This window comes from Homo sapiens, chromosome 9 (genome assembly GCF_000001405.40).
Source record: "Homo sapiens chromosome 9, GRCh38.p14 Primary Assembly".
NCBI classification, from domain to species: Eukaryota; Metazoa; Chordata; class Mammalia; order Primates; family Hominidae; genus Homo; species Homo sapiens.
In genome coordinates, this window is record NC_000009.12 from 138,112,974 (window position 1) to 138,135,228 (window position 22,255).

Sequence of the window (22,255 nt, forward strand, 5' to 3'; positions counted from 1 at the left end):
GTGCCCAACTGCATCTCGTGGGAGACGTGAGGGAGCGCAGAGAGGTGCCCAACTCCTTCTTGTGAGAGACGTGAGGGAGCACGGGGAGGTGCCCAACTCCATCTTGGAGACGTGAGGGAGCACGGGGAGGTGCCCAACTCCATCTTGTGGGAGACGTGAGGGAGCACGGGGAGGTGCCCAACTCCATCTTATGGGAACGTGAGGGAGCGCGGGGACGTGCACACCTCCTTCTTTTGAGAGGCATGAGGGAGTTCGGGGAGGTGCCCAACTCCACTGGGAGGTGCCCAACTCCATCTTATGGGATACATGAGGGAGCACAATGAGGTGCCCAACTCCATCTTGTGGGAGACGTGAGGGAGCACGAGGAGGTGCCCAACTCCAACTTGTGAGAGACGTGAGGGAGCACGGGGAGGTGCCCAACTCCATCTTATGGGATACGTGAGGGAACACAATGAGGTGCCCAACTCCATCTTGTGGGAGACGTGAGGGAGCGCGAGGAGGTGCCCAACTCCATCTTGTGGGAGACGTGAGGGAGCGCAGGAAGGTGCCCAACTCCTCCTTGTGGGAGACGTGAGGGAGCGCAGGAAGGTGCCCAACTGCATCTTGCGGGAGACGTGAGGGAGTGCCGGGAGGTGCCCAACTCCATCTTGTGGGAGACGTGAGGGAGCGCAGGAAGGTGCCCAACTCCTCCTTGTGGGAGACGTGAGGGAGCGCAGGAAGGTGCCCAACTGCATCTTGCGGGAGACGTGAGGGAGTGCCGGGAGGTGCCCAACTCCTCCTTGTGGGAGACGTGAGGGAGCGCAGGAAGGTGCCCAACTCCATCTTGTGGGAGACGTGAGGGAGCGCCGGGAGGTGCCCAACTCCATCTTGTGGGAGACGTGAGGGAGTGCCGGGAGGTGCCCAACTCCACCTTGTGGGAGACGTGAGGGAGCGCAGGAAGGTGCCCAACTCCATCTTGTGGGAGACGTGAGGGAGCGCCGGGAGGTGCCCAACTCCTCCTTGTGGGAGACGTGAGGGAGCGCAGGAAGGTGCCCAACTCCTCCTTGTGGGAGACGTGAGGGAGCGCAGGAAGGTGCCCAACTCCATCTTGCTTTCTGGGGAGGAGACACAGGAAGGGCCCTGCATTAAGCAGGTGGGGATGGCCTCAGCCCGGTCTTGAGAGGCCTCAGGAGGAGTCAGGGCAGTCAGGAGGGCCAGGTCAGCATCTGGAGGAGCCCTAGGTAGGCCAAACTCCTGGTGGCCGAGCCCCATGTTCTGCCTGAGAGCCCTCTGTCCCAGTGCATTTCCAGGAGTCTTTGTGGGGGGCGAGGGAGGGGCGGCTGTTTCCTCACCTTACTTCCATACCTTGTTTCCGTGGATCCTCTGCCCCCTTCTCCGAATCTCAACTCCTGTGTTCTTTTCCAGCTGATGAGATGACAGTGGGGAAGGTTTATGCAGCTCTGATGATATTCGACTTCTACAAGCAGAACAAAACCACCAGAGACCAGATGCAGCAGGCTCCTGGAGGCCTCTCCCAGGTAGCTGGCGGCCCTCAGTTTTCCAGGAAAACTGTGATGCCTCCGAGGCTCTGGCATCCTTCGGGGGGTTGACGACGGGGGAGATGCACACCATTCTTGGAAAAAGTATCTCAGAAGGAAGATGAAAGATTCTTGCAGCTACCTCTCTGGCCCCCAGAGTCAGAAACTACACACAGCCTTTATGCTTTCCATGAGCTGGCGGTACTGGGCAGCTCCTGACATAGAAAGTCAGCACTCAGGGCCAGAAGTTGAGGGCTGGGCTGGGCAGTGTCATGGTTGTTATGGGGTGGAAGAGAAGAAGATGTGAAGACCATTTGAGGAGGATTGTTTGGAGAGGTGAAAGGAGAACTGTTTTCCCTTCACACAGAGAGCAAAGAAATTCAGATAGGTACAGGATCATTGTCTGTTCTGCTCTTGCCTTTGACTGAGATGATTTGGGGACCCATCTTCCCGATGTCGTCCTTCCCACACAGCCGTGTCTTCGGTGACCATATGTAGTCTGTCTGCTGGAAAATTGTCTAGATGTCCAGGGCTTCTGGGGACATTGACCTAGTCCTCAGATGGAGAATATGTGGTGCTCAGGCCACACCTTCCATTCTCACACCTGGGGTAGACATCACTAATCCATGCAGCAGTCTTCCCCAGCCCTGAAATCTCGGAATTTTGCTCAGCCCAACCCTAACCCTAACTCCTACCAGCCAATTCAAGGTGATGATTAGATGGAATATTGTTGCCACCTGTAATCTGGTCCAATCCCCTAGTTGTGTAGACAGGGAAACTGAGGTTTTGAGAGGTGACATGGCTTTCCTGAAGTCACTGACAGGCAAGGTTTTGAGGAGATGCTGTAAGGGTCCCCTGGCTTGCTTCACTGTTTTGGTCACATGCTCATATTTAGGGACATATCAGGGAAAGTAAGCGGCCCCTTGCTAAGGGGAAAGAGCCCTTAGGCTGGGCTTGAACATGACCTGGCTTTTGCCCCATGCCACATGGTCAGAGCAGGTCACAGAGGCCACATTGCAGGCCCATTGGAGCTCTTTCCCTTCCCTTTGCCTCCTTTGCAGATGGGTCCTGTGTCCCTGTTCCACCCTCTGAAGGCCACCCTGGAGCAGACACAGCCGGCTGTGCTCCGAGGAGCCCGGGTTTTCCTTCGACAGAAGAGTTCCACCTCCCTCAGCAATGGCGGGGCCATGTGAGTATCCAGATGCAGGACATAGCTGGACAGGAGGAGGTCCAAAGACAGTAAAGGGGGAAGCAGACATCCCATTTCCTCAACCTCCCTGGCCCTCACTTCCACTGGCCTCTGGGTTCACCAGCTTGGAGGCACCTGAGGGGCGTGTCTGCCATCCGACCCTGCACTTGGGCCCTTAGCAACCCTCCAAGGACAGAGAGCCCCTAGGCCACATCTCAGTTCTCAGGGGCTGGCTTTGCTACAGATGCTTGTTGTACTTGCTGCCTGAGAGCAGTCAAGGGCTCTTCCTTTGCTGGGTTTCTGTGGCAGACTTTAAAATCGTTTCCTGTGACATTAGACAGGTGCTTCATCGAACCCGCCTTCCTAACAGCACTTAGACCACCACGTCCCATTCCCAACACACGCACCTGCTTCCCTTTCAGACAAGAGGCCCCTGCCCCTGCTCCTCATCGGCCCTCCGTGCCAGCAGACGCTGAGATTCCACCTCCATCTCCCACCCCTTTCTGTCAATGGCCTTCTACTGCTCTGATCTTTCTAACCCCGTAAGGCACTTTTCCTCTCAGATCTCCACTTTGGTACTGATTTCTGAAGCTGTTATATTTTGTAAAGAAATTGGTAAGGTTCTTTTGTATCACTTAACTCTTGCCACAATATTTCCGGGTAACAAATCACCCAGAAGCAGGTGACTTACAAGAACCATCACTTTTTCCCACTGTGGCCCAGAAAAGTGTGCTCCCAAATCTCAGGACCCAGATCCTGGGGGCTGACTCCCGAGCCGCTGGCAGCCCCCCATTCCCACACTGCTTTCAGCATGCTGTTGAAAACCTTCCTTGCATTTAAAGTCCTGATTCTGACTGTATGTGCAGGTGGGAGGAGATAGTGAGGTGTCTGGGGTTTATCTAAGCCAGGCTTTCAGCAGGAAATTGAGCTTCTGTTATTTCTGTGATGGTAGTTTCTACCTAAATCAATTACAACTCCAAGTCAGAGAGCACCCACTCAGACTGGGTCTGGTGAGGGTATTTATTGAGCCATTTAGTGAGCGGGTTGAGCACACCTCTGGCCTTGGACGTGGTGTTATTTCAGGGTTAGCGGTGCATTAGGAGCCAGCTCCGGTTCTCCTAACCACCCCTCCTCTCAGCACCAGCCTGCCACTGCGGCCGCTCTGTGCCTGGTGCCAGCAGGGGCTGCAGTGCCCCAGACAGCATGGAAGGAGAGCTGCTTGCAACTCTCAGAAGACAAAGGATGGGGCTTCTCAGAAGCCCCAGCAACCACCAGTGTGTCCTTCTGCCATCTCTGCGTCCACTGCTGTGGTCAGGGTGTGGTCCATTTAGACTATCAGGCTCCAGTCTGAGCTCAGAGTGATCAGTGCCACTCAACCTGCATGACTAAGAACGTAGTCTTCAGTGTTTCACTGAATGTGAGAATGAGCACTCACCCGAACACATTCCACGCCAGTTGGGAGATAAGTGATGAGAAATACCAGTGCGGAAGTATCTCCGGGTGGGGCTGTTGGGGCAGGCGTATGGGGAGCATGTGTGGGGTGGCCTCCGCCAGAAGGCTGCACCCCAGCAGAGAGCCGAGGGATGGAAGGGCTCATTGTGGCTTGGGGGGGGGGTCAGAGAAGTAAGGAGGAGCCACCAGCAAGGGACCCCTGAGGGAGGAAGCCCCTAGAGGAGGAAGCCCAAAGAGTCCCGGGCGAGGCCCCCTACCCCCCGTCCCAGCCCGTCCCCTCCATGACAGCTTTGCCCTCATCTGTCCCAGCCTGTCCTCTCCATGACAGCTTCTCTTGCTGTCTGCTGGCATAGGCAGGACTTCTTCAGCTACTGTCCTAATGCAGGCTGTACACATGCGGCCCCACTCCTTCCCAGGATAGTCCTGTGTGGCAAGGACAACCCCTGCTCCCACTTCACAGATCAGCCTCTTGTCCAGAGGAGCGGGTGACGGACCCAGGCCCCCCTCAGACTTGAGCACTGTGGGCTGTAAGCTGGTGCTCTGCATCCTCTCTGCCACTCTGAATCCCTTCTTGCTCTGACCCTGTTTTGGATCCATGTCCTTTGATGAGGCTTTGCCTGGGTCCAGCGTGCACAGGCCACGTTGGGGCTCTTGTGCCCAAAGGAGGGCTCAATTCAGTCCAGAACAGGGTGGCCAAACCCCCTGACCTCTGCTGCATGTGTTGGAGACGCCTGGCAGGTTGAAGCACCAGGCTATTGGTAAGGCACCTGCAGTCTCTGACCCTACAGGAATCTGTTTGTCTTCTCTGCCACAGACAAAACCAAGAGAGTGGCATCAAAGAGTCTGTCTCCTGGGGCACTCAAAGGACCCAGGATGCACCCCATGAGGCCAGGCCACCCCTGGAGCGTGGCCACTCCACAGAGATCCCTGTGGGGCGGTCAGGAGCACTGGTGAGCACTCCCGGGGGCTAGTGAGACTGGGTTGGGGGATGTGTGAACAGGGATGGGGGATGTTTGAGACTGGGGTGGGGGACGTGTGAACAGGGATGGGGGATTTTGAGACTGGGGTGGGGAACATGTGAGACTTGGGTGGGGGACGTGTGAGACTGGGGTGGGGGATGTGTGAGACCAGGGTGGGGGACGTGTGAGACTGGGGTGGGGGATGTGTGAACAGGGATGGGGGGTGTGTGAGACTGGGATGGGGGATTTTGAGACTGGGGTGGGGGACGTGTGAGACTGGGGTGGGGAACATGTGAGACTAGGGTGGGGGACATGTGAGACTTGGGTGGGGGATGTGTGAGACCAGGGTGGGGGACGTGTGAGACTGGGGTGGGGGATATGTGAACAGGGATGGGGGGTGTGTGAGACTGGGGTGGGGGACGTGTGAACAGCAGTGGGAGTTAGGTGAGACTGAGATGGATTTGGGTGAGACCCCAGTGCCTCATGGAGTGAGTCCGGGGTGGGATCAGATGAGTCCGCGGTGCCTTGTGTGGTGGGACTAGGTGAGTGCTGTATCCACAGGCTGTGGACGTTCAGATGCAGAGCATAACCCGGAGGGGCCCTGATGGGGAGCCCCAGCCTGGGCTGGAGAGCCAGGGTCGAGCGGCCTCCATGCCCCGCCTTGCGGCCGAGACTCAGGTAGGTGGTCTGGGAGGGTCCAGGCCCTGGGCTGGGCAAGTGGGGGGTGGGGAAGTGGGGCTGTGGCTCTGGGCCTCCTGCAGGTGAGGAGAGCTGGGGTAGAGAGGCTGGGGTCCATGTGTGGAGCTCTTTGCTGAGGCAGGAGCAGGCACCCCGGGCAGTCCTGTCTGGGCGCCGACAGAGGTGCAGCCTGGACGCCTTCAGCCCCTGAGGCTTCTCCAGAGGGTGGGTCAGGTCCGGTAGAGGACAGCTGTGCCTGTTCTCAGCCTCCTATTAGGGGCCATGGGGCATAGGGGCCCCCACTCTGGCTCAGCCACGTTCTGTTCCTCCTTTCCGGGGCTCTACTCCCTGAGACAACCCCCACTCTCATCCAGAAAATTTCACCGACACCTCAGTCCCCTCTCCCGCCCGTGGTTCTGCGGAGGACCCTCCCTGCTCATGGGCAGTCCCTGGACTACTTTTCTACCCAGCTCCTTGCTGGGCTCGCCTCTTTCTGGGACATGCACACTGGATTCAGGAAGAGGAAGCTCTGGCCCCATGTGTTTCCCGGGGGAGGCTCCTTCCACAAGGACACTGGGAGGATCGCCCCTCCGAGGCCAATCTGGGAACACTGTGCCCCGGCCTCCGAGGCCTCGGAGGAGCTGCAGGGCCTCACCTGCAACATGAGCCTGCTTCAGTTGGCCAAAAGTGACCGGAGCCCCCGTGCCAGCCCTGTCCCTCGGCCGACCTGGGCTGTGGAGCTGTGGATCTGAACCTCGTCCGTGGCTCGTCTCCCATCCCACTGCTGTGGCCAGCAAACCCTTTTCCTCTCCTCACTGCCTCTCCTCCCTCTTAGGGTTTTCTCCTCTTCCCACCTGTCCTTCCTCTCTTGTCTCTTTCCCCGCCCAGTGGTACCCTCCTGGGTGCTGCCTGGTGGGTGGGTGCAGGCTGAGCCTCCCTGCAGCCTGTGCTGGGGCCTCCTCCTTCACACACGTGATGCATTGGCGGCTGTGGGTGAGTTTACCTGGGAGGGCCTACCCGTCCCAGGTGTCTTCACGGGTCCTGATTCTGGCCGTGGAAGCAGCTCGGGAGCCAGTCCACCCCAGACGCACCAGGCAGAGTGATCCCATTGCAGCCAGCAGAGGCGTCTCTGGTTTCCACTCAGGGTTCTTCCAACCAAGCCAGCCACCTCTCTCTTCCTGGCACGACACATGGGATGGGGCGGGGACTCAGGCACTGTCTGCCCCCAGCCTGCCCTCCTGGGCTACCATTTCAGGCCTGGGTCCTTCTGACTGTGAGACCAGGATGGGGGGCGTGTGGGCCTGCTGTCTGGCCTGCTCCACCACCCACTTCCATGCCTGCATTCCCGCTGACCCTGGTGCCTCCCCTAGGCCCACTCTCAGTCCTTTGCCCACAGCCCGTCACAGATGCCAGCCCCATGAAGCGCTCCATCTCCACGCTGGCCCAGCGGCCCCGTGGGACTCATCTTTGCAGCACCACCCCGGACCGCCCACCCCCTAGCCAGGCGTCGTCGCACCACCACCACCACCGCTGCCACCGCCGCAGGGACAGGAAGCAGAGGTCCCTGGAGAAGGGGCCCAGCCTGTCTGCCGATATGGATGGCGGTGCGTGCGGAGGGGCCCGGGGAGTCCTTCGGGGAGCTATGGCCCGAGTCAGGGGGTCCAAGCGGCCCATGGGGGACCCTCTTCCTTTGTGGGCCTCGTGACCCCATAACCAGCCAGAGCAGGGTGGGACTGAGGCCCAGGCCCTAACCCTCACCCTAGCCTCCCCTGGCACCACCTGAATTCTGTCCTGCTGGGCCCGGGGGTCAGGGGTCCCTGCCTTGGGCCTGGCCGTGCTAACTTCTTCTCTTCCCTGGCCAGCACCAAGCAGTGCTGTGGGGCCGGGGCTGCCCCCGGGAGAGGGGCCTACAGGCTGCCGGCGGGAACGAGAGCGCCGGCAGGAGCGGGGCCGGTCCCAGGAGCGGAGGCAGCCCTCATCCTCCTCCTCGGAGAAGCAGCGCTTCTACTCCTGCGACCGCTTTGGGGGCCGTGAGCCCCCGAAGCCCAAGCCCTCCCTCAGCAGCCACCCAACGTCGCCAACAGCTGGCCAGGAGCCGGGACCCCACCCACAGGTAAGAGGAATAGGTGGAGAGGTCAGGGCCCAGCTGCCTCTCCTCGGCCCAGCACCCCTGTCCCACAGGCTCCTGCCTCTCCCCAGGGCCTCGCTGCTGCCCTTTGTCATTCCCAGCAACCCAAGGGCCGGGCGCTCCCCTCTGTGCCCTGTCCCGGAGCCCACGTCTGCAGCCTACCCCAGCTGTGTTCTCATCAAGCTCCTGCCTGGGTCACCCTGGGACAGTGGTTCTGCGTCCTATCCACTTTCGGACCTGGGCCCCCAAATACTTACCTCTCTCTCGGTCACTTAACTCTCCTTCCCTGACTGTGGTCGTTGGGCTTTTGTTCTGTCCTTTTCCCTGGCCCCAGCCTGTCCCTTCCCATCACCTGCTCTCCCCAACCCCATTCCTGGGCCTGACCCTGACCATCGCCCTCCCCCGCACACAGGTGCCTGTTGCCTCCCTGGTCACCGCAGCCCGTTGTCCCCCATTGCCTCCCTCTCTCCTCCCATCCCCCCAGGCACCTGTGTGTGATGTGCTCTGTCTGTTGGTTCGGCTTTTTTTTTTTTTTTTTTACCTCTGATTTGTTCTGGTCCATTTTCATGTAGGGCAGTGGTTCCGTGAATGGGAGCCCCTTGCTGTCAACATCTGGTGCTAGCACCCCCGGCCGCGGTGGGCGGAGGCAGCTCCCCCAGACGCCCCTGACTCCCCGCCCCAGCATCACCTACAAGACGGCCAACTCCTCACCCATCCACTTCGCCGGGGCTCAGACCAGCCTCCCTGCCTTCTCCCCAGGCCGGCTCAGCCGTGGGCTTTCCGAACACAACGCCCTGCTGCAGAGAGACCCCCTCAGCCAGCCCCTGGCCCCTGGCTCTCGAATTGGCTCTGACCCTTACCTGGGGCAGCGTCTGGACAGTGAGGCCTCTGTCCACGCCCTGCCTGAGGACACTCTCACTTTCGAGGAGGCTGTGGCCACCAACTCGGGCCGCTCCTCCAGGACTTCCTACGTGTCCTCCCTGACCTCCCAGTCTCACCCTCTCCGCCGCGTGCCCAACGGTTACCACTGCACCCTGGGACTCAGCTCGGGTGGCCGAGCACGGCACAGCTACCACCACCCTGACCAAGACCACTGGTGCTAGCTGCACCGTGACCGCTCAGACGCCTGCATGCAGCAGGCGTGTGTTCCAGTGGATGAGTTTTATCATCCACACGGGGCAGCCGGCCCTCGGGGGAGGCCTTGCCCACCTTGGTGAGGCTCCTGTGGCCCCTCCCTCCCCCTCCTCCCCTCTTTTACTCTAGACGACGAATAAAGCCCTGTTAGAGGATGCGGCTCTCTCTGTCCCCTTCCTGTCCTGCCTTCCTGGGTCTCGTACCACACACCAGACCCTAAACCGCAGGCTGCTGTGTGTGGCTGAGAAGGACCCAGGAGTCCAAATCCCGTGTCCTGGGACTCAGCATCCAGCATGGGTGCTTGGAGCCGTTGTGAGGAGCTCTGCGTCCTGTGGGGAGCACCCTTCACGTGGCCGTGCGGCACAGAGAAGCAGGGCCCACCTGAAAGTGCGCCGAGACCTCGGGACGGAGGGGATGGGGAGGGGGACACAGTCGTGGCTTGTGCAGCCCGCCAGTGTCAGCGAATGCTCACTCAGGCAAGCTCTGTCCTCCCTGGACACCGTCAGCCCCACAGGAACCGAGCTGGGAAGTGTTCTTGCTGTGGTTGTGATTTTTAATTGCAACACCTCTCATTCTTGTCACTTCTATATACGTGATGTAGAAAAAATGGAAAACCAGAAAAATGGGGAAGGAAATGTTCACATAACTTTAAAAAATCAAACCTGTGAAAGAAAGATGTCAGCTTTTTGCCACGTGTCTTTGTGGCTTATGCGAGGAGACTCCCTGTGCAGCCCTGTCCGGTCCAGGTGGACGTAGACGGCCCCTGGCTCTGCTGCTCTTGACCAAGTGCCTGACCGCCAGGCCCTCACACCCAGGCTCCTGGGCACTGTGGTGTGAGGCGAGGCCTCGGGATCCATCACCGCAGGATGCTGTGAAAAGTACTCGCGATGGCAGCCAGGTAGCAAGCCCTTGCCAGTGGAGAGCACTGGATGTCATGGTGGCAAACAAGGCAGCCATTTGCTGTCCTCCTCCCACGAGTGGAAGGGGTTTCCAAGGAAGCCACAGGGCAGCTGACCACGTGCTTGTGTGAGGCATTTTCAGTCTGTTCTGCATATGATTCTCAGGGCACACTCTGTGGTATGTGAAATAGGTTTCCTTCCACATACAGCAGAAGAGAGGCAAAGGCTGGTAGGAAGGAGGAAGACATTGGCTGGGGGCTTGGATGTGGGGCCGTCAGGGCAGGAGGGAGGAAGCCCCAGCTGGAATGAAACTCAGAGCAAGTGACCGAGGGAGGACACGGCTCCTGCCACTGAGGCCGGGCACCTGATGCCCAGCACTGTCCTGGCGCCAGACACAGGGAGCAGGCAGTCAAGTGAGGTCTGACCCCCATGGCCACGCTCAGGAGAGAAAGACCATGCTCAGGACACTGTCCAAGGTGCACAAGATGCTGGGAGGTCCCTTGTTTGGTGAAGAAAGGGAGCATTTAGAGCAGTTGATGGTGGTGTGTCCTCCGTGTTCTGAAATTCCAGATGATCTGTGTTGGATTCTTGGCTTCTACCCCATGATTCTCCTCAAAGAAATTGTGTGTGATGTGTGTGTGTGTGTGTGTGTGTGTGTGTCTGTGTCACAGGAGATGCAGTGCCTGTACAGGTGTGTTCAGTGTGTGGATGTCATTAACCCATAGGGCTATGCAACAAAAGACACATTTAATAGAAGTAAAACACACAAGACCGCTGCCTGGTCTCGGGGTTCAGCATGATTGTGACCAAACCTTTTTATAGAATTTCCTTACCTGAAGGCACAACACTCTGAAACTTTAAAGATAACAGAGTATTTTATTCCAATAGAATAAACCAGGAATCTCGGACTGTGCATGTGATCACTGTGCTCCTGTTGCAAAGTAGAAGGATGTGTATTTTGACACTGACGTTTTGTCTCTTGTTCCCCAGCCCCCAGCCCATGTTATCTTGGGTGTCGAATGTGTCCATTCCATGCAGAACCACAGCCATTTCCCCAGGCAGTGTTGGGTCGAGAATCCACTTTTCTAAACCCACACAGCCTAGCTGGCTTGTCTAGACTCTTCTAGGCATTGGAATTGATGAAAACTACAGGGAGCGGGGAAAGGAGACATTATGTCTTGTTTTCCTGACTTTGGGTTTTGTTTCTCACTGTGTCTTCTCCGGCTATCATATATGTCCCCTGAATCTCATAGTGAGCTGCCAAATTTGAAGTGCATCACCCAGTTGTCTGCATCTGGAACCAGTCAAGCAGTGGCTGTAGTTTGAACAAGTTATGTGTGCATGTAACATATATACATATATACATATATACAAGTATGTGCATGATAATGTATATCTTCGTACTTTTTGATACAATGTATTCATTTGTTAATTTTTAATTATATTTGATATAAATCAAAGGTTTGTTGCAAAACTTTATATTTAAGAAGTGTTAAAAAAAAAAAAAAGTCCCAACCATGCAACACAACTGGGACCTACTTAAAAAGAAATTCTGTGATTGACTAGTTTGCTGCCTGAGTCATATTTATCAGCCAAACTTTGGATTCTGCTGTTGTTTCTACAATGACATTTTGTATGAAGCAAAGTCCTTGAATTAAAATAAAAACTTAGCAAAAAATCAAAAACAAAACCCCACCATGCTGCCATTGGTATATGCAAGGGTGTGGGCCTGGGGTGCACTGCTAGGAGGGGTCAGAAGAAAGTGAGAACTGCAGTTTGTTGTTGTTGTTGTTGTTTTGTTGTTGTTGTTGTTTTTTGACAGAGTCTTGCTCTTGTTGCCCAGGCTGGAGTGCAGTGAGGCAATCTTGGCTCACTGCAACCTCTGCCTCCCGGGTTCAAGGGATTCTCCTGCCTCAGCCTCCAGAGTAGCTGGGATTACAGGCGTACACCACCATGCCCATCTAATTTTTGTATTTTTAGTAGTGACAGGGTTTCACCATGTTGGCCAGGCTGGTCTCAAACTCCTGACCTCAAGTGATCCGCCCACCTCAGCCTCCCAAAGTGCTGGGATTACAGGCGTGAGCCACCATGCCTGGCCTGCAGTTTGTTTTCAATGCAAGTGTGGGATCAGGTTTTGAGAGTGTGGTGAGGATCAAGGGAGGCACTTGGCAGGAGGAGGCAGATTCAACTTCCCTGGGGATCAGGGTTAGGGTTGGTTAAGATTACAGTGGTGGGTTAGGGTTGGGGTTGGGTAGAGGAGGTTCTGGGAGGCTGTGTGAGTTTGGGGCACAGAGCTCCTCTTAAGATGCCCCAATAATCATTCGCTCTGCTGTTAAAATGTTAGGATATTGCTAGCTACATGCTGATAAGGACAAAGGGGACATCCTTAAGAGAAACCTGGCACCATAAGTACAGATTAGGGCAGAGAAGGACATTCGAAAGAGATAGGCAGGCACAGTAGGTACAGACATGACCACTGTAGGACCTTCCTGGAGTGGCAGGAAGGAGCCCAGCCCCAGCAGTGGAATCACACTGATCACTGCACATATGTGTCAGCCAACAGTGAGGGGGTCCCACAAGCCTGGGTGGGGCAAGTCAGGGATCTAAGGAAGGAGCAGGAAAACCAGACAAAGAAAAGAGGTGGAGACTTGAGGAATGTGAAGAAGTCCAACATAAAACTCCCTGCTCAGGACCCTGGGGCTGTGTTCCTGCAGATCAGCCCCACTTCTCCCTTGAGGCATACTTATTTTTTCTACAATAAGCTCTTTACACTATATTTCTTTTCAATGAAGTTATCTGCCATCTTTGTACTGCCTCTTGGTGAGAATCTTTCTTTCAAGTTAGACAAGAACTGGGACATCAGGTCTCCCCAGTATTAGCTCCATTTCAGTTTGAATTTGCAGAATTGATAGTGCTGAACAACCTGCACTCCAACTTTAAGTGGTGTAGGAAGAGGCCAGCAGGGTCAGACCCTGAAAACAGACCAGCCACGTCTCCCAGGTGGACGCAGCGGGTTCTCCACGAGCGTGACTTGGGGATTTACGGCACTGAGACCGTGCTACCCACCCCCCCTTAAAAATCCCTCGTGGCTCCCAGTTGCCCTGAAGGGGAATCCCAAACTCTTCAGAGGCAGCACATGCTGGTGGGTGAGAGTTGGGAGCCTGAGTCCAAGTTCCAGCCTGGCTGCTATCGGCTGTGTGACCACTGGCAACTCGCCTAACCTCTCTGGGCCTCACGGGCTCGTTGGAGGATGTGGTGAGAGAATGACCGAGATGAGCTTAGCACAGTGCTGGCCACACTGTCGCTGTTCAATGCCAGGTGGCTGTGGCAGCAACAGGGCCCTGCAGTGTCTCCAGCCGCCAGCAGGGTGCGTGCCGCCACTACACTGGGAGCAAGAGGGCCCTGCAGTGCCCTGGCCGCCAGCAGGGGGCACGAGGCCATGACACCGTGAGCAAGAGGGCCCTGCAGTGCCCCCGGCCGCCAGCAGGGGGCGCAAGGCCATGACACCGTGAGCAAGAGGGCCCTGCAGTGCCCCCGGCCGCCAGCAGGGGGCGCAAGGCCATGACACCGTGAGCAAGAGGGCCCTGCAGTGCCCCCGGCCGCCAGCAGGGGGCTCAAGGCCATGACACCGTGAGCAAGAGGGCCCTCCAGTGCCCCCGGCCGCCAGCAGGGGGCGCAAGGCCATGACACCGTGAGCAAGAGGGCCCTGCAGTGCCCCCGGCCGCCAGCAGGGGGCGCAAGGCCATGACACCGTGAGCAAGAGGGCCCTGCAGTGCCCCGGCCGCCAGCAGGGGGCGCAAGGCCATGACACCGTGAGCAAGAGGGCCCTGCAGTGCCCCGGCCGCCAGCAGGGGGCGCAAGGCCATGACACCGTGAGCAAGAGGGCACTGCAGTGCCCCGGCCGCCAGCAGGGGGCGCAAGGCCATGACACCGTGAGCAAGAGGGCCCTGCAGTGCCCCCGGCCGCCAGCAGGGGGCGCAAGGCCATGACACCGTGAGCAAGAGGGCCCTGCAGTGCCCCGGCCGCCAGCAGGGGGCGCAAGGCCATGACACCGTGAGCAAGAGGGCCCTGCAGTGCCCCCGGCCGCCAGCAGGGCGTCCACACCGGGCCGAAGCGAGGGTGAAGCCCGCGTCCTCCTCGGCACAGACCCGGGGGGCACCGCCTCGCTTTGGGACAACTCGAGGCCATGGTGAGTAAAATCCTTCCTGTTTGCAGCCCTGACTACTGAGGGTTAGAGACCAGTAAGAGGGGTCGGTGTGGGAAACTGGAAACCAAAAGCCCCTCTGAATCCTGAGCACTGAGGTTCTCCCCACCCAAGGCGAGGCGGGCGCAGTGCGAGGTCTACACCGCGGCCTTGGAACACAAATGGAGCGTTCCTAATGCAGATATGCCTCCCGAAATACGAATGTGACACTCGCAGTGCTCAGGTAACAAACACCTGTAATGCTAATGCGCTGCCTCAATACAAAAATGTTAATATGAAACCCCGTGCTCCCCACACGGCCCCGCAGTCCCCGCTCATAATAATCAACACTGACATAATCAACACAAACGTAGCCTCCAGCTGCTCACAGCTGCTGCTGAGCTGGAGCTGCCTCGGGCTTGGCCTCCACAGTGGAGCTTGTTGTCGTATCTGCTTCACGGACGTGGAATTGACACAGTTGTTTTAAAAAGTAGCTTACTTCCCAATAATTCCATACTTTCAGGAAACTTGCAGCGGTAGTGTGGAGTTTTCTTTCTCTTTTCTCTCAGATTCCTCAGCGGTTGTTGCTGAGCCAGATCTGCATCTCACAGAAAACACCCCAGTGTTTTTCACCCAAAACAGGGACCCCTCCCAGGTAAGCGCCAGGTGACCCCAGCACAGGAGGCCACGTTTCTACCTGAGGGTCGTGTCCGCAGGCCCGTTTCACTTCACAGCCATCACGGCTGGGTGGAAAATGTCTCTTTCCATCTGGGTCCAGTTTTCCTTTTCTGGAGCCTTCGCAGAGTTGAAGAGCAGAGCTGCCCCCAGCCTGGGTCTGCACAGCGGTTCCCCCTGGGCAGATGCAGACGCCGCACTCCAGGTGGGAACTCGCAGCCTCTGGCAGTGCTCTGCACAGCGAGTTCCCCGGAGGAGCACAGACCCACCCACACCCCACAGAGACCTCAGGGTGATTGCGACAAAACTCTCCTTTACAAACAAGTCTCATCCCATCACTCTTCTTATTTAACTTTAACGATGGTTTCCCACTGGCATCAGAACAGGGGTCGCAGAACTGACCTGGCCCCCAGTCCCTGAGCGCTCCCACCTGCTGCCCTCTCCCGCCCAGCCCAGCCCAGCTGCCTGCGTTGCGGCCTCCACCTGCAGGGACACAGCAGGCTCTCGGGAGTCTTGGGAACTCTATGCACATCCAACACCCTCTTATCAAATACTCTTAAGATTCTGTCTACCTAGATCCTTCAAGTCACAGCGGTTATGATGTCTAACAACACAAATGTTCTGACGTGATTTTTTTAGACCAAAAAAAAAATGTTTGGTAGATCATATGTGAGAATCACCCTTAATTTATAAATCAAGGAAATAGATACATAAAAGCAGAGTCCATATTTGGGATAATCAGTAAAGAAAAATAAAATCTCAATGCAGAATGAAAGGCAGAGGGCACCATTGATCATTGAAATTTCATAAGAGTTTACTGGACAGAATATTACCTTACTATATTCTCCAGCCCTGTGTGTGTGTATGTGTGTGTATATCACACATATACCAGTTGCAAAAAATTTCAGGTTTAAACACTCATGTTTGCTTTTTTTTTTTTTTTTTTTTTTTTGAGATGGAGTCTGGCTCTGTCGCCCAGGCTGGAGTGCAGTGGTGTGATCTCAGCTCACTGCCACCTCCACCTCCCGGGTTCAAGTGATTCTCCTGCCTCAGCCTACTGAGTAGTTGGGATTACAGGCGCCTGCCACCATGCCCGGCTAATGTTTGTATTTTTAGTAGAGACTGGGTTTCACCATGTTGGCCAGCTGGTCTTGAACTCCTGACCTCTGGTGATCTGCCTGCCTCAGTTTCCCAAAGTGCTGAGATTAGAGATGTAAGCCATCTCGACTGGCCTACTCATGTTTACTTCATTAGTCAATACGGTTGATTAAGAAGTTAGGGTTAGGGTTGGGGTTAGGGTTAGGGTTAGGGTTAGGGTTAGTTTTAGGGGTTAGGGTTAGGGTTAGCTTTAGGGGTTAGTGTTGGGGTTTAGGGTTAGGGTTCGGGTTTGGGTTTGTGTAGTGTTAGGGCTAGGGTTTGGGTTAGGAGAATTGCTTGAACCTGGGAGGTGGTGGTTGCAGTGAGCTGAGAGTGTGCCACTGCTCTCCAGCCCAGGCGACAATGGGAGATTCCGTCTCAAAAAAAAAAAAAGGATAGTAATACCTACTTTTAACAGTCATGAGCAACATTTTTTTTTAATGTGGGTCACTTCTTTATTTTTCTGATTGCTAGAGCCATGTCTCAAATGCAAACATCCTCGTGCTTACTTCATGCAGCTTCAGACTCGCTCTGCAGACGAGCTGATGACCACCTTCTACAAGTGCTGCAATTCTCAGGGTGGACACTGCTGTAGGGATTAGGACTAGGATGGCCCAGCTGCTTCAGTGTGTGCTTACCTTGTCCCTTGGGGTAGATGCTTAGCTGGCAGTGTGAATCGTGTATCCTGAGGGTCTTTGCTGGTGTGGTGGAAAGACAAACCTTTTGAGGTGAAGAGCCAGGGTGTCAGGAAATGTGGCCTATCTGCTAGTCAGAGTGGATGAAGTCATGAATGTTGGGGAGTTTTTCTGTATGGGTAGGAGACGGAGACCCATAACTAAGTATGTGCTGTTTAAAGTCCTGTTCCTTCATCTTCTACATTTATTGGCAGTTGACATTCCCTTACTCCCAATCAATACTATTTTTTTTTATTTTGAGACAGAGTCTCACTCTGTCGCCCAGGCTGGAGCGCAGTGGTGCGATCTCTGCTCACTGCAAGCTCCACCTCATGGGTTCACGCCATTCTCCTGCCTCAGCCTCCTGAGTAGCTGTGACTACAGGCGCCCGCCACCACTTCTGGCTAATTTTTTTTGTATTTTTAGTAGAGACAGCGTTTCACTGTGTTAGCCAAGATGGTCTCAATCTGACCTCGTGATCCACCCGTCTCAGCCTCCCAAAGTGCTGGGATTACAGGCGTGAGCCACCGCATTCAGCCTCAATCAACACTCTTAAATGTTTGTACTGTTTGCAAAACTGAGTACATTAAATGTCTCTAAATATTTAACTGTTGCTTGTAAACTTAATTTAGTATTTATTTTAATCAAAATTCTGAATATTTCGTTAAAATGAAAGTTCTAATATTGCCTTCTCAGTGTTTTAAATAGCTTATTAAGTAGAAAGCAAACCCCAAATCACAGTGATCCCAAAATTGACTACATACTTAGATTTGAACAGGCTATGAAAATCCTCATCACTGGTATTTCAATTTATTTCTTTACTCCTATTCTTATTCCCTTATTCATTTTTTGAACCTTCCCTGATTGCTTCCTAGGGTTGCATTAAACGTATAAGATTCTATTTTTTTTTTTTTTGAGACACAGTCTCGCTCTGCCGCCCAGGTTGGAGTGCAGTGGCATGATCTCGGCTCACTGCAACCTCTGCCTCCCGGGTTCAAGTGATTCTCTTGCCTCAGCCTCCCAAGCAGCTGGGACTACAGGCGCATGCCACCATGCCCAGCTAATTTTTTGTCTTTTTAGTAGAAACAGGGTTTCACCATGTTAGCCAGGCTGGTCTCAAATCACCTGACTTTAGATGATCCACCTGCCTTGGCCTCCCAAAGTGCTGGGATTACAGGCATGAGCCACCGCGCCCGGCACTATGTTTTTATACTTTATACTTTCTGTGTTAATCATTCAACTCTCAGAAGAGAAAGGACACCTCAGACTAGCTGAGTCTAGGTTCTTGATAATTGATTCTTGGTCAAGGCCCCAGTCTTAATTGCTTTCTAAATCAATCTCTCTCTCTCTCTCTGAAAGAGATGGGGTCTTGTTTATGTTGCCCAGGATGGGCTCAAACACCTGGGCTCAAGTGATCCTACCGCCTTGGCCTCTAAGTAGCTGCCACCACTCCCCACTCCACATCTTTTTTTTTTTTTTTGAGACAGGGCTTTGCTCTGTTGCCCAGGCTGGAGTGCAGTGGCATGATCTTGGCTCACTGCAACCTCTGCCTCCCAGGTTCAAGCGATTCTCCTGCCTCAGCCTCCTGAGTAGCTGTGATTACAGGCATGTGCCACCATGCCAGGCAAATTATTTTATTTTTAGTAAAGACTGGGTTTCACCATGTTGGCCAGGCTGGTCTCAGACTCCTGGCCTCAAGTGATCCTCCTGCCTCAGCCTCCCAAAGTGCTGGGATTACAGGTGTGAGCCACCACGCCCGGACTCCAAATCTTTTAATAGTGTATTCTTGCTTATGAAATTGTGATACTTAAATTTCTGCTTTTGGTGCAGTTTTTACTCTTTTGAGACTTAGTATCTTTCCCAGTAATGGTATAATCTTTACTTTTTCTTTCTTTTTTTGTTTTTTTTTAAATGGAGTTTCGCTCCTGTTGCCCAGGCTGGAGTGCAATGGCACAATCTTGGCTCACCACAACCTCCGCCTCCCAGGTTCAAGCGATTCTCCTGCCTCAGCTGCCCAAGTAGCTGGGATTACAGGCATGTGCCACCACACCTGACTGATTTTGTATTTCCAGTAGAGATGGGGTTTCTCCCTGTTGGTCAGGCTGGTCTCAAACTCCTGACCTCAGGTGATACGTCCACCTTGGCCTCCCAAAGAGCTGGGATTATAGGTGTGAGCCTCTGCCCCCGGCCAATCTTTACATTTAATATGATTGTTTTCGTATTGTTTGAACATGTTAACCAGTTCCTGAGCTTATTATCTCTAATTGGCTCTAGTTCAGAATAGTTTGTTCTGGTTTCCCAAATGTGATTTTATCACGTGGGCATTATCTGTAACGTCTTCTGCTTATGCTGTTAGTTTTACTTCCTCAGGTGACAGTTCTTCTGTTCAGTTTTGTTGTTGGAAGGCAGCATGGACCCACGGTACACATCATGTACTCTGAAGCCAGCGTCCCTGACTGCACCTTAGCTGTGAAACCCTGGTCAAGTTGCAGAACCTCTGCCTTCATTTCCTCATCTATAAAGTGGATATAATAATAACCTGTTTGAGGGGTTTACAAACTGTTTTCTTAAGGGTCAGAGGGTGAATAGTATAATTACTTACTTTTTAATTTTCTTTGAGACAGGGTCTCACTCTGTTGCCCAGGCTGGAATGTAGTGGCATGATGTCAGCTTACTGCAGCCTGGACCTCCTGGGCTCAAGTGATCCTTCCATCTCAGCCTCCCTAGTGGCTGGGACTATAGGTGCGCCCCATGCCCAGCTAATTTTTTTTTTTTTTTTTGGTAGAGACAGGGTTTTGCCATGTTGCCCAGACTGGCAACTTCGATATGTTTTTTATAGGCAATTTTAAAAAAAATTTAATACTTCTTTATTTTTTTTGAATTTAACCTCAGAATGTGATTATAGGCAAAATTCAAAATGTAATAATAATTGAGTTTAATTTTTGTAATGTGGGTCTATTACTGAGAAGAGTGGATGCCATTTTGCTTAATTGGGGTTCACAGTTAATGTTCCCTGTCATCGAAATCAATTGCAAATGTGCATCTGTGAATGCTGGTTACGTGCAGGAGAGCAAATGAAGTACACCATTGACACCACTGAAAGAGTCAATAGATTCACCACTGACAATGGATTCAGATATTTCCCACAGAGTTCTTGCTGATGAATAATACAGAGAAGCAGGTGTGGTGGCTCACACTTGTCATCCTAGCACTTTGGGAGGCCAAGGTGGGTGGATCACCTAAGGTCAGAGGTTCGAGACTAGCCTGGCCAACATGGCAAAACCTCATCTCTACTAAAAATACAAAAATTAGCTGGGCATAGTGGTGCATGCTTGTAATCCCAGCTACTCTGTGGGGGAAAGGAAGAGAGATCAGACTGTTACTGTGTCTATGTAGAAAAAGGAAGACATAAGAAACTCCATTTTGATCTGTACTAAGAAAAATTCTTCTGCTTTGAGATGCTGGTAATCTGTAACCTTAGCCCCATCCCTGTGCCCACAGAAACATGTGCTGTGTTGACTCAAGGTTTAGGGGATTTAGGGCCGTGCAGGATGTGCTTTGTTAACAATGTGTTTGCAGGCAGTATGCTTGGTAAAAGTCATCGCCATTCTCCATTCTCCATTAACCAGGGACACAGTGCACTGCGGAAAGCCGCAGGGACCTCTGCCCAAGAAAGCCTGCGTATTGTCCAGGTTTCCCCCCAGTGAGACGGCCTGAGATATGGCCTCGTGGGAAGAGAAAGACCTGATCGTCCCCCAGCCCGACACCCATAAAGGGTCTGTGCTGAGGAGGATTAGTGAAAGAGGGAGGCCTCTTTGCAGTTGAGATAAGAGGAAGGCTTCTGTCTCCTGCTCGTCCCTGGGAATGGAATGTCTCGGTGTAAAACCCGACTGCACATTCTATTTACTGAGATAGGAGAAAACTGCCCTGTGGCTGGAGGTGAGACATGCTGGCGGCAATACTGCTCTTTACTGCATCGAGAGGTTTGTGTAAAGTCAAACATAAACCTGGCCTACATGCACATCCGGGCACAGCACCTTTCCTTAAACTTATTTATGACACAGATTCCTTTGCTCATGTTTTCCTGCTGACCCTCTGCCCACCATTACCCTATAGTCCTGCCACATCCCCCTTGCCGAGATAGTAGAGATAGTGATCAATAAATACTGAGGAACTCAGAGACCAGCACCGGTGCAGGTCCTCACTTGCTGAGCGCCGGTCCCCTTTTCTTCCTCTATACTTTGTCTTTGTGTCTTATTTCCTTTTCTCAGTCTCTTGTCTCCATCTTGCAAGAAATACCGACAGGTATGGAGGGGCAGGCCCCTTCATTACTTGGGAGACTGAGGCAGGAGGATCACTTGAATCCGGGAGGCGGAGGTTGCAGTGAGCCAAAACCATGCCACTGGACTCCAGCCTGGGTGATAGAGTGAGACTCCGTCTCAAAAATAATAATAATGATGATGAAGCAGTGAAAAACCGTACACTTTAAGCACTTTATGATTTCACAGTCTTCATACATTTGTCCACCTAAGCTTGTTCCTGATCCACACATGCTTTTACCACTGCCAGTTTTAACACATATTAGTAGATTCCTGTTTTGCTGCATTAGTTTTCTCAACTTTGGTAATATTCTTGCTGCAGTTGTTGGTTTTCTTTTTGGAGACAGGGTCTCACTGTCACTCAGGTTGGAGTACACTGGTGTGATAACGGCTCACCACAACCTAAACCTGCCGGGCTCAGGTGATCCTCCCACCTCAGCCTCCCAAGTAGCTGGGACTACAGGCGTGGGCCACCATGCCCGGCTAATGGAGGGGGAAGGGCTGAGCTTGTCTGAAGACCCTCCCGTGGGTGTGGCAGAGCCTGTGGTCTGAGGCAGGGGTCCAGCTGCAGAGCAGCCCACAGCTTCGCAGTGGCCCAGGGAACCAGGGCAGGCAGGCCGTGGGGCCCAGTGCCTTCTGGGCCAGGCCTTGATGCTGAGGCCATGGAATAGGTGCGGCTCTGAGAAGGGACCAGAGTGACCATGGGCTGAAGGCTATGTCCACAGACCCAATGTGGCAGAAGCTGTGCCAGGCAGTGATGTCAGCCAGGCTCCCTAGCAGGTCTAGGGATGTCAGGGGCAGCTCTGTCCCAGGTGGCAGACACTGGTTTCCCCTCCTGCTCTCACAACTGTCCTGTGACCGGGTGTTGTCTGAGCTGTGGTGAGGCCTCCCTGGTGACATCCAGGAGCAGGGAGCATGTGGGTGGGGGGTGTGTGCACCTGCCCTGGCTGCCTGGCCCTGTGGCCAAGGATGGGGGAAGGCACTCCGCCTGCAGCTCCACCCCATTTGTAAAGCACTGTGTGCCTTCTGCTGGGGCATGTGCTGAGGGTGCCTCGCAGGCACTCCCCTCGGGAAGTTCACAGGCTTGTGTAGAAGCTGGTGGAAATGTGCTAAGAAGAGGTGTCAGGAGCCAGATATTGGGCAGGTCCCAGGTCTCTGAGCCTCAGTTTCTTCATCTGTAGGAGGGTGGTAACCCTGCCCTGCTCAGCTTACCAGGTACAGCTGTGAGTTTTCAGTGCAGAGGAAAAGCAGAGCCCTTCCCCTCAGATGGCCATATTGCCTTGTTGCTGTACCCAACTTTCCAGTGCTCCC

At 54.1% G+C, this 22,255-nt stretch overlaps 1 protein-coding gene across 2 annotated transcripts in view; it reads left to right on the forward strand.

The window, feature by feature from the left end:
• Positions 1 to 11,646, forward strand: part of CACNA1B (calcium voltage-gated channel subunit alpha1 B) — a 246,838-nt gene extending 235,192 nt beyond the window's left edge. The window contains exons 41-47 of one of the 2 annotated variants that reach the window (NM_000718.4): positions 1,405 to 1,517; positions 2,579 to 2,706; positions 4,973 to 5,108; positions 5,679 to 5,795; positions 7,192 to 7,399; positions 7,658 to 7,908; positions 8,496 to 11,646. In NM_000718.4, coding sequence (NP_000709.1) covers positions 1,405 to 1,517; positions 2,579 to 2,706; positions 4,973 to 5,108; positions 5,679 to 5,795; positions 7,192 to 7,399; positions 7,658 to 7,908; positions 8,496 to 9,026 — 1,484 coding nt within the window. In that variant the 3' untranslated portion in view covers positions 9,027 to 11,646. The remainder of the gene's footprint in view (positions 1 to 1,404; positions 1,518 to 2,578; positions 2,707 to 4,972; positions 5,109 to 5,678; positions 5,796 to 7,191; positions 7,400 to 7,657; positions 7,909 to 8,495) is intronic. The other variant, NM_001243812.2, reaches the window with a different exon arrangement.